Raw genomic sequence first — 12,781 nt, forward strand, 5'->3', positions numbered from 1 at the left:
AACGTTCTTGCCAGATTGCTGTCACCTTGATACTGGACTTCCCAGTCTCCAGAACTTTGAGATATAAATTTCTTTATAAATTATCCAGTATGTGGTATTCTGTTAAAGTAACACAAAATGGACAAAGACACACCATTTGATGCACTTTTTTCTAGAAAGTGTTTTTACAGAAACCTTGATATGCGAACAGATTTTTTTCAAGAGGATATTCATCATACTATTACTTGTAATTTGAAAACTAAAAACCATCTAATAGTCCCCACATAGGAGACTAATCAAATATATTTATACTATAGTCATTCATTAGACTATGTAGCTATTAGAAATCATAAAATCAAGTAATATTTAATGATGTAAAAGTACTCCTGATATATTATAAATGAAATAAAGGAATACATAAAACACTAAAAAGTAACAGCAAAATAACAACATATATTTGCCTTACCCAAATTCAATCATATGCACCCAACAACTCTAGTCTCTTCCTCTTGCCCTTCTTTACTTTTTCTTCTTTTCTTTTTTTTTTTTTTTTTTTTGAGACGGAGTCTTGCTCTTGTCGCCCAGGCTGGAGTGCAGTGGTACGATCTCAGCTCACCACAACCTCCGCCTCTCAGGTTCAAGTGATCCTACCTCAGCAACCCAAGTAGCTGAGACTACAGGCACGCGCCACCAGGCCCAGCTGATTTTTGTATTTTTAGTAGAGGCGGGGTTTCACTATGTTGGCCAGGCTGGTCTCAAACTCCTGACCTCAGCTGATCCACCCGCCTCAGCCTCCCAAAGTGCTGGGATTACAGGCGTGAGCCACTGCACCTGACCCCTCCTGGCCCTTCTTTAAACTAGACCTTGGACTTCAGTATCTCAAGAAAAGGAAAAAGAGCTAAAATACAAACTCTTTCTTTACTTTTGAGACCCTAAAGGCTCAGGTCCTGGTCACTGAAAAACGATTTAAAGAATCAAAGGAAATCTGACTGCACTAGCCAGTTATCTTACAACTCGGTGACTCTAAAAAACCTAACCTCACATAAGGTATTATATTTACAAAAAGTAATAATAAAATACATATATAAGCACACATATATATGTATGAACACACACACACATACAAACACACACACATTAAAAATATATATCAAATGTTAAGATGCTCTTGGAATAGAGGAATTATAATTATTATTGTTATTACTTTTTTTTTTTTTGAAACAGTCTTGCTTTGTTGCCCAAGCTGGAGGGCAATGGCACAATCACAGCTCACTGCAACTCTTAACTCCTGGGTTCAAGCAATCCTCCCGCCTCAGCCTCCCAAGCAGCGAGGACTACAGGCATGAGCCACCACGCCCAACTAATTTTTAAATTTTTTGTAGAGATGAGGTCTCCAAACTCTTGGTCTCAAGTGATCCTCCTGCCTCGGCCTCCCAAAGTGCTGGGATTAGAGGCCTGAGCCACCACACCCTACCAGAATAAAGGGATTAAAGGGATTTTAATTTTATCTAAGCATTTCTAAATTTTATAATGAGAAAAAACACTATTATAAAGTATGCCCACAAATATCACTTGATCTCTAACACTGCTTTCAACTTTCAGATTCGGTCTTCCTGGCTCTTTTTTCTTTTTTTTAAGATGGAGTCTCGCTCTGTTGCCCAGGCTGGAGTGCAGTGGTGCGATCTCAGATCACTGCAACCTCCACCCCCCAGGTTCAGGCGATTCTCCTGCCTCAGCCTCCTGAGTAGCTGGGATTACAGGTGTGCACCACCACAGCTGGCTAATTTTTGTGTTTTTAATAGAGACATGGTTTCACCATGTTGGCTAGGCTGGTCTCAAACTCGTGACCTCAAATGATCTACCTGCCTCAGCTTCCCATAGTGCTAGGATTACAGGCATAAGCCACCGTGCCTGGCCCTCACTCTTACATTTGTTTTACTGCGTTAATACTTTATTTTACTGTTCTGTAGCATACTAATGATGTATAAATTTGTTTCTGATACTTTATGTTTAGAGTTATTACAACATGAAAAGCCACACATCTCCAGCTAAGAAAAAGGAAGAGGGTTAAGATAACGGAAAATGCAACAAATAATCCTACCAATGGCAGCTAATTGCCGAAATCCAGTTTGCTTGCTATGGTAGCCAGTCCCTAAGATGACCCCAATGACACTTGCTTCCTGGTATTCACACCCTATGTGGTAAGGTGTACACCCTATGTAGGCCCCTCCCACACTATAGCAGCAGAATATGTAACCTACAGAATATGGTAAAGATGATAATATGTCACCTTCTGATATTAAGTTATAAAACACACTGCCTGTGGCTTCTTTCTTGGGCATGCCCTCTCACTCTTAGATCACTCACTCTGGAAGAAGCCATGTCATGACACGAACAAGCCCATGGAGAGGATCTCCTGGCAAAGAAGTGAAGCCTCCTGCCAGCAGCCCCATGAATGAACTACCAAGCAAATTCTTCAGCCCCAGTGTATATCTTGACTACAACTTCATGAAAGAACCTGAGCCAGCTAAGCGACTCCCAGAATCCTGACCCTCAGAAACAATGTGAGATAATAAATGTGTAGTTTTAAGCTGCTATATTTGCTAAAATTTGTTATGGAACAATAAATGACAAACTTTTTTTGGCCAAAAGCAGTACAATTAGAGAAGACTGTTGGATATACTATCATTATCCAATCTTCCTCATTCTACACAAAGCTCCCTTTACAGGAAAATCAGGAAGAAACGTATAGGGAAACTTGAGTTAATTTTCTTAAACATGGAAAAAAAGATATGAAGTCAATTATAATGATCCTTCACTATAAACATTAAAGATCTTTCTTGTGTATCTTTTAATTTTTGAAAGATGCCTATGAAGACTTTATACCTATTTCTACAAATAATGAACTATTTTCCACAATTATGAAGAAATGAGCCCTTAACTTTGAATCTGTCCCATAACACCCACCACAAAGTAGCTAGTTTAACTCTTTTTCTTTTTTTTGAGACAGTTTCACTCTTGTTGCCCAGGCTAGAGTGCAATGACGCAATCTCAGCTCACCACAACCTCCGCCTCCCAGGTTCAAGCGATTCTCCTGCCTCAGCCTCCCGAGTAGCTGGGATTACAGGCATGCGCCACCATGCCTGGCTAATTCTGTATTTTTAGTAGAGACGGGGTTTCTCCCTGTTGGCCAGGCTGGTTTCGAACTCCTGACCTCAGGTGTTCCTCCTGCCTCGGCCTCTCAAAGTGCTGGGATTACCAGTCCCAAAGTGCTGGGTCAGACCAGTCTGACCAATATGGTGAAACCCCATCTCTACTAAAAATACAAAAAATTAGCCAGGTGTGGTGGTGGGGTAATCCCAGCTACTCAGGAGGGTGAGGCAGGAGACTCACTTGGACCCAGGAGGCAGAGGTTGCAGTGAGCCAAGATTGCGCCATTGCATTCCAGCCTGGACAACAGGAGCAAAACTCCATCTCAAAAAAAAAAAAAAAAAAAAAAAGGAGTAATAATAATAATAATAATAGTAAGATACACTTATAAATATTTCAACTAATTCCCACTTATTTTCAAGAGAAAAATCAGGTTAAAAATACTTCATCTACCTGGTTACACCACCCCAGGATATTTTAGAAAACGTAAACCTAACACCATCAGTTAAAAAAAAAATGAATAAAGAAAAATCTTATCTAGTACACAGGTCAAATAATTACTGTTTTCAGGTTTAAGATGATATATGCATTATACAGAAAATATAGAGCCAATTACAATGCAGCATAACCATAATTGAATAGCTTCAGGATTTTATCACTTGTAAAATATTCCCTTACATTTTTGCATTTAAGAATATGTTTCTAAGACAATCTTTAACCAAAAAATACTTTTAAAAAGAGAGTTGACTTACCCATATGCTCTATTGTCTGGCAGACTGCTATGGGCTCTTACTCCTGGGGGTATGACTCGGACTTCATTGATATAAACCACACATGGAAAACGAACCACATCTATATGAGAACTTTGCTGTAACAAAAAAAAAGCCGGAGGGGGAGGGGTTCGGAACATTATGTAAAACAGTTTCTCTATTCAAATTTTATTCATTCACAATGTCACATGTAAACTTAACATTCCATATCATTAAATATCATTAAATATATTATTTACAGTGTTGTATAAATAGCTGATAAGATGTACTTACTTAAGTTTCTCAATTTGCCTAACATTTTCTGCCATGCATTTACTTCCCTGCTGATGTTTTGCTTAGACTAATATAGACACAGAGTCCCTTATCTGAAATCTCTGGAGCCAAATGCCTTTCAGAATCCTGACTTTTTGATTTCTAGAAAGATAATATAATCCAAATATTGCATATTACTTTAGACCCCCAGTGGCTTCTGCAGCAGCACCCTGTAATCAAAACATTAATATTCTGCAGCCACACGTATCAACATTCACACTAAATAAAGATTATGGCCGGGCGCAGTGGCTCACACCTGTAATCCCAGCACTTTGGGAGGCCCAGGCAGGTGGATCACGAGGTCAGGAGATTGAGACCCCGGTGAAACCCCGTCTCTACTAAAAAATACAAAAAATTAGCCGGGTGCAGTGGCGGGCACCTGTAGTCCCAGCTACTTGGGAGGTTGAGGCAGGAGAATGGCGTGAACCCGGGAGGCAGAGCTTGCAGTGTGCTGAGATCGCGCCACTGCACTCCAGCCTGGGTGACAGAGCGAGCGACTCTGTCTCAAAAAAAAAAAAAAAAAAGAAAAAAAAAGATTATAACAAGCACCATATCAGTTCAGATTAGACTGCATGGCCAAATGAATTCAGGGTAGGGTTTTGTGTTTTTTGGTGTAAGTTTTTTGCCATTTTTGAGTTTCTGAATTATAGATAAGAAACTGCAAATCTGTACTTAGATCAGCTTACTTTGTTAAACTTACATACCAACTAATATCAAGGGATCAGGGAAAGCATTTAGGTACTGAATAGCCGAGATAAACCCCTCCTAAAATTAAAAAACAAAACAAAACCACAAACTAAGAGTTTATTATATAGAAAAAAAAATAGAAGCAGAGGTGCATGCCTGTAACCCTAACTACTCAGGGGGCTGAGGTAGGAGGATCACTTGAGCCCAGGAGTTTGAGGCTATAGTTAAGTTATGATATGATCGCCTCACTGCACTCCAGCCTGGGTGACAAAGTAAGACTCCATCCTGGGGAAAAAAGAAAAACAAACAAAAAAAGAAACAGCATAAATTATATCTAGTATATACTTACATCTATCATTTGACACAGGATTAGGCAAATATAATTCTTGTTTTCAATAATTAAAAAGAGAGTTTTCAAATTGTTTTTGGACAATTTTATGTCAACTTTTCCTATTACTTCAGTCAACTGTTATTACCAAGTGGTCAAAGTCCATCATGAGAAGAATGGCTCACATTATTTGCATCTAGAAAGACTGAGTCTCGCTATAAAGAATATCATGCTTACCAACAATGAATTTAAGGATTTACAAATAGCCTTTCAAAATCTATTTTGTTTGTATATAAAAGAGTTTCTGTATTTGCTGCTACCAGTTGTTAAATATTTATTTCTAAATATTTATTAAATGTCGACTATGTTCCAAAGTATGCTAGTTCTGAGGCTACAAAGACAAGACATAATCTCTGCCATTATGGAACAGACAATCTGTTGTGGTAGACAAGTAGATAAATTGCCATGATACAGACTCACAAAGGATGCTATGAAAATTCAGAGGGGTATTTAGGTCCCCAGCCCAGGTTGTAGGCAAACAAGGGAGAAGGCATGCACAAAAGGAATGCAAAAGAGAACATGGAACATTCACAAAAGTGCAGGCTGGGAGCCATGGCTCACACCTGTAATCCCAGCACTTTGGGAGGCTGAGGCAGGAGGATCACTTGAGGGCAGGGTTCAAGAAGATCAGCCTGGGCAATATAGGAAGATCCTGTGTCTACAAAAAATTAAAAAATCAGCTGGGCATGGTAGCACATGCCTGTAGTCCCAGCTACTCAGGAGACTGAGGTGAGAGGATCACTTATGCCCAGGAGGTCAAGGCTGCAGTGAGTCGTGATGGCACCACTGCACCCCATCCTAAGCAACAAAGCGAGACTCTGTCAAAAAAAAAAAAGGGAAAGAAAGAAATTGCAAACATAGTTCATCATAGCTAGAGGGCAAAATAGCAAAACAGGGGAGGAAAGCAGAGAAGAGTAGCTAAGAACAACCAACAGAATTACAAAAACAAGATTTTCATCCACAGCCAGAGGACAATTCCCAATCTGTATCTCCATCTAGGACCTCTCTCCTGAGCCCCAGGCTACTATATCCAACTGCCCACTCAGCCTCTCCATTTCAATGTCCCTTGTGCACCAAACTCAACAAATCCAAACTGAATTCTCCTACATTAGTGATGGCATCACCATCCACATATTGCCCAAGACATTATTATCCTGGACTTCTCATCCTCTCTCTTCTATATCATCTATCTATTCAAACACTAAGTCCTATTGATTAAAGCTCTCCTCCATTCCGGCTGTCACTCCTTTAGTTCCATATACTACATCACTCCAATATGAATTACAGCAATAGGATCCTAATTGATTTTGTGCTTCTTTTTTAATTTTTGTTTTTTAAATTTTTATTTCAATAGTTTTTGGGATACAAGTGGTTGTTTACATGGATAAGTTCTTTAACGGTGATTTCTGAGATTTTAGTGTACCTGTCTCCCAAGCAGTGTGCACTGTACCCAATATGTAGTCTTTTATCCCTCACCCCCGTCCCAACCTTCCCCCTCCGAGTCCCTAAAGTCCATTGTATCATTCTTACGCCTTTGCATCCTGTGCTTCTTTCTTGCCTCCCATCAACACATTCTCCTACTGAAGTATGGTCTTTCTAAACTATAAATGTACCACTCCCCTGATCTTACTGTTGCCAAGCCAAATTCCTAGGTCTTATAAACAAGACTGGCTTCTTTATTGCTCCAAACTTATATCCCTAGCTTACCATGCTTTTCTCATTTTTATGCCCTCACTCATGATGTTCTCTCTGCTTGAAATCTATCACATCCTTCTGCCCCAACTCCTTTTACAAGTAAACTTTCTCTTGAAAGCTGAGCCAGATCAAATCTAGATAGGTGCCTCTCCTCCTAGTGCCTAAAGTCCTTTATCTAGCTGAATTGTAATTGCCTCTTATCTCTCCCATTAGACTATGTGTTTAAAGAAGACAGACCTATGTCTTAGTTTACTGTATATTCATAGTGCCTAGCATATTCATTTAATAAATGAATTTTTAATAGGCACTTGATTAATGGTTATTGAATTGTGTTTTCAGAGAATTAAAAACAAAGCCTAGGAAAACAGGTTAACAATGGGAAATCATGGAAGGTTCATGATCAGGAAAGTAACAGGAATATGAAGAAGACTGGTCAGATTCCACAACTCTGAGCCACAATTATCTTTGGAAGGAGTCATTTACCTGCATGTTTAAAGGTCACAGCATAACTGTTTCCCTTCCTTATTCTTCTATCCCTGCAATTATCTTCTCTTTCTACCCTCTCCTTTAGCTATCACATCTACTGCTACCACTTCCTTTTTCACTTCTGCAGATGAGTTCCTAATTGGTTTCCTGAAGTAATTTTTAAATGACCTCTAAAATACAGGATTTTCCAGTATCGACCTAGTCTCCTAGGACTGTATTTTAACCCAGCACTTCCACACTGGAAAGTACTATTAAAAAAATAACTAAAAATGTGTAAAACAATTTAGCTTCAAGAATATTACACACCACTGTAAAGTCAGAAACCTAAATGTATGAGAATTTAGTATATAAATAATAGCATTAATATCGTAGCACTTTGGGAGGCCAAGACAGACAGATCACCTGAGGCCAAGAGTACGAGACCAGCCTGGCAACACGGCAAGACTCCATCTCTACCAAAAAAAAAAAAAAAACTTTAAAAACTAGACGGGCATGGTGGTGTGCACCTATAGTCCTAGCTACTCAGGAGGCTGAGGCAGGAGGATCGCCCAGGTCAAAGTTGTAGTAAGCCATAAGCACACCACTGCACTCCAACCTGGGCAACAGAGCAAGACCCTGTTTCAAAAAATATATATAGCATTACCACTTAAAGAATATTACACAGCCAATAAAAAAGGATATTATATAGAATATCTAAGGAGAGAAACAAGATGGTTAGGGGACAGTGATGAGACTTACTTTTTACCACATACTCTTTTGTACCTTTTGTATTTGTACCTCATACATGTATTACCTAGTCAAAAAAAAAAAGAAAATTTAAAAAAATAAGCTTACTTTTGAAATATTATATAGGTGTATTACTTCTTGATTCACAAAGATGTACAACACATTGTTAGGTGAAAAACGAAACCACAAAACAGTATTACAGTATTGTAATATTAACGTGGGCAACGGGTGTATACATTTAAGCATAATATTCACTAGAGGATTTGGAAAAATATTAATATAAAGACAGCTGTTAATTACAGTGTAAAATACAAAGTAAAAGCTGATTACAATAGGGAGAGATACAGAAAGGAAATTAATTCACTCATCAACAGGAATATACAAATACAATAGCTTTCCACTCATATACTTGTTTACCAAATAACCTTGCTTAAATCTGATTTTAACTTAAACAACTTTTTCTAATATTGTATATGTTAACATTAGAGATATAGTGTGCTTTTTTATATTTTTTTATTATTTATTTATTTATTTTGAGACAGAGTCTCGCTCTGTCGCCCAGGCTGGAGTGCAGTGGCACGATCTAGCCTCACTGCAAGTCCCACCTCCCAGGTTCACGCCATTCTCCTACCTCAGCCTCCTGAGTAGCTGGGACTACAGGCGCATACCATCACGCCTGGCTAATTTTTTTTGTATTTTTAGTAGAGACAGGGTTTCACCAGGTTAGCCAGGATGGTCTCAATCTCCTGACCTCGTGATCCCCCTGCCTCAGCCTCCCAAAGTGCTGGTATTACAGGCATGAGCCACCGCGTTTGCTATGTTGCCCAGGCTGTCCTCCCAACTCCTGGGCTCAAGTGATCCTCCCACTTCAGCCTCCCAGGCTGGGGCTACAGGCACACATGCCACCACACCTGGCTTATCTTGCATTCTTGATTTGTAATGTTAAGTGTTTTTTCATTCACGGGAACACTATTCCCTCACAATCAAATTGTCTTTTAATAAGTTTAACTGCTTATCTTCTGAACTCAGTGGATTGGCCTTATAAATGTGTATCAATTGTTTATGTGGAGAAGAGGAAATTATTGGTAAAACAAATACAATACCAAAAAAAGAGCTGTTAATGGCAGCTGGCAATAAAGATTCCCTGTGTGAAACTAATAAATGTCTCTTCTCTACCATATTACAAATTCCTTTGAAATCAAGGGCAATGGGCTTTGTTCTGACTTGTATTGCCCCTCCTAAAGCCATACCCTCACCTTCAAAAGTGTTTTTCATAAATAATTGTTAAACAGATTCTCAACTTCCTATGGGGCAAATTAATCTGGCTAATTATCCCGTTCCCATCAAACTCACTTCCACACTCTTACCATCATTAGTCCCACTAGTTCTCCTGTCTCTAAAACTAGAATTTTACCATTTTTAACTACCCTATCTCCTTCACATAATCAGTTGCCATCCTGTCAATTCTATACTCGAAATTTGTACATATCCAAAACTTGTATAAATCCTCTCCTACGTAGTTCCACTGGGACACAGCATAGCACTGCCTTAGAGCCAGAAAAATGTATGATGGTGGATCTTAATCTAGCTATGCTATTTTAGGAAAGTCACCTCATCTCTCAGGCTCAGTTTCCTTATCTATAAAATGTAGATGACTACCTTTGAAAACTCAGCGTGGGCCCTGCAGTGGCTCACGCCTGTAATCTTCGCACTTTGGGAGGCTGAGGTGGGAGAATCGCTTGAGCTCAGGAATTCAAGACCAGCCTGGGAAACATGGCAAAACACCGTCTCTACAAAAAAATATGAAAATCAGCCAGGCGTGTTGGTGCACAACTGTAGTCCCAGCTACTCGGGAGGCTGAGATGGAAGGATCGATTGAGCCCTGGTGGGAGAAATTGCAGTGAGCTGTGATCGCACCAGTGCACTCCAGCTTGGGTGACAGAGCAAGACCTAGTCTTAAAAAAAAAAAAAAAAACTGATGGAAGGACCAGAGATGATTTACTTAAGTTATCAAAGCCCACTGTGTCTGGCACAAATTAAGCATTCAATAAATGTTAAACAATGCTTACTGCCCATTGGCTAACTCAGGTTTTCATAACATCTCACTTTTTCTCTCTGATTTTGTCACCTCACCTCTATTTTCTCTGAACCATTTTTTTTTTTTTTCTTTTTGAGACGGAGTCTCGCTCTGTCACCCAGGCTGGAGTGCAGTGGCACAATCTCGGCTCACTGCAAGCTCTGCCTCCCGGGTTCACGCCATTCTCCGGCCTCAGCCTCCTGAGTAGCTGGGACTACAGGCACCTGCCACCACGCTCGGCTATTTGTTTGTATTTTTAGTAGAGACAGGGTTTCACCATGTTAGCCAGGATGGTCTCGATCTCCTGACCTCGTGATCCGCTTGCCTCGGCCTCCCAAAGTGCTGGGATTACAGGCATGAGCCACGGCGCCTGGCCTTCTCTGAACCATTTTAAGTATTATTGATCAAGTAATCTATCTAATGTATCTTACTAATTGTATGATTCGCCTGCTCAAAAACTACCCATTTCCTACAAAATAAAGTCCATAATTTTTATTTATTTATGTATTTATTTATTTTAAAAGACAGAGTCTTGCTCTGTCGCACAGGCTGGAGTGCAGTGGCGTGATCTTGGCTCACAGCAACCTCCTCCTCCCGGGTGCTAGCAATTCTCCTGCCTCAGCCTTCCGAGTAGCTGGGACTATAGACGCACACCGCCACGCCCAGCTAATTTTTTGTATTTTAGTAGAGACGGGGTTTCACTGTGTTACCCAGGCTGGTGTCGAACTCCTGACGTCAGGCAATCCACCCACCTCAGCCTCACCAAAGTGCCGGGATTACAGGCGTGAGCCACTGCGCCTGGCCTAAAGTCTGTAATTCTTTGTCGAGCATTCAAGGAGCTCCATGATCTGTCTTTGAATTGCCTTGGGTGCCACTTCACACTGCTACTTCAAGCATACCCTAACAGACGACTGACTACCCCAGTAGAATGCCCTCCTTTCCTAACTACAACTGTGAAATATTGCCCCTTTCACCAAAGACCAAGTTCATAAGCCAAACACCTTGATGAAGTCTTTCCTGATACACTCAAATGAAAAGTTATCTCTGCCTCTTCTGAAATCTTGTATCTTTTATTTATACCCACAAAGGGAGCTAGTTCTAATACGTCAGATACTGATGGGCATTTTGTAAACTAAGATGATAAACCCCAACGAATTCACACTGTGCTTCTTTATGTGATCATCACATTCTAACTCAAATCACAATTTTGTGAATCTAATCTCCAATACTGAGTTATAACTTCTTGAAAACAAACATTTCAATATTTCGTATCACCCACAAACCCCTACTTCCTCCTTCAAGACTTGATTTAAATGTGATCTCTGCTAAGCCTTCCCCAATCACCCCAGAAGAAAGCATTTACCATCTGCCCTATGCTCTCAAGGTATTCAATGTTTACCTAAGAATGAATAAAAGAATAGAAATACATGATAAACTAATGAAGGCCAATTTTCCTAAACTAGAATAGTACTAAACTAATTCATCACATGCCTCTTTCTCTTTTTCCTTTTTCTCTTTCTTCCTTTCGAGACAGGGTCTCACTCTGTTGCTCAGGCTGGAGCACAGTGGTGTGATCTTAGCTCACTGCAGCCTTGAACTCCCAGGATCAAATGATCCTTCCACTTCAGCCTCCCGAGTAGCTGGGGCAACAAGATCAAACCACCACAACTAGTTAATTTTCTTTTGTAGAGACAGGGGTTGCACTGTGTTGCCTAGGATGGTCTCAAACTCCTGGACTCAAGCAATCCTTCTGCTTCCGCCTCCCAAAACGTTGAGATTACAGGCATGAGCCACTGCGCCAGGCTCTTTCAGTTTTAACTGTTCTCTATTTCTATACACCATAAGTTTGTTCTGATCCAACTACTGCCTCCATTGAGGGTTTTCTAAATCTCGGCTAGAATGTTAGATATAGTCATTGAACAAACAGTGCTAACTGACCCACATTAAATGTCAGACCATAAATTAACTGTCAGTAAGAAATGCTAACTCAAAGTTCTCCAACTTTTGACTTTTACAAACCTATAAACCATTCGTTAAATTAGATCACAGCTGTCAACTTTTTATTTTGCCAAGTAAAGCATTATGATACAATCACTACCCACTATCATTACTATCTCATAAAAGAAAGAACATTTTAAACATTTTCCATTCAAATATTTATTGAGCACCTACATTTTGCTAATACTGTCCTAGGCACTGGAGATACAGCTGAGAAAAAGAGAAATTATATCTGTCCTCAAAAAGCTTGATACAAGAGCACACTTGATAAAAATAAAAGGAAAAAAATAATCTCCAAAGAAAGAACAGTTCTCTAAATTAAGCTTACATTAAGACAGAAAAATGTGAAGTTCGTTTTTTTTTTTAACAATTTCTCCGTAGACTTCATTCAAGTTCATTTTTGGTCTGCTTTCAGGAATCTTTAGTTAACCAGCTATGTTTAATCTACATATTGCAGGGCCAATTGTACATTAAGGGGCGCTCAAGTAGTTTTGTACAGAAATATTACTCCAC

The 12,781-nt window shown here is 39.6% G+C and overlaps 1 protein-coding gene across 3 annotated transcripts in view; it reads right to left on the reverse strand.

Annotated features, from left to right (window-relative positions):
- Positions 1-12,781, reverse strand: part of VIRMA (vir like m6A methyltransferase associated) — a 65,781-nt gene that overhangs the window by 52,257 nt on the left and 743 nt on the right. For 2 of the 3 annotated variants that reach the window (NM_015496.5, NM_183009.3), the window contains exon 2: positions 3,882-3,997. In NM_015496.5, the coding sequence (NP_056311.2) occupies positions 3,882-3,997 (116 nt within the window). Of the gene's footprint in view, positions 1-3,881; positions 3,998-8,205; positions 8,261-12,781 lie in introns of all 3 variants that reach the window. The other variant, XM_047421677.1, reaches the window with a different exon arrangement.

The sequence above is a fragment of the Homo sapiens genome, chromosome 8 (genome assembly GCF_000001405.40).
Source record: "Homo sapiens chromosome 8, GRCh38.p14 Primary Assembly".
Lineage (NCBI taxonomy): Eukaryota > Metazoa > Chordata > Mammalia > Primates > Hominidae > Homo > Homo sapiens.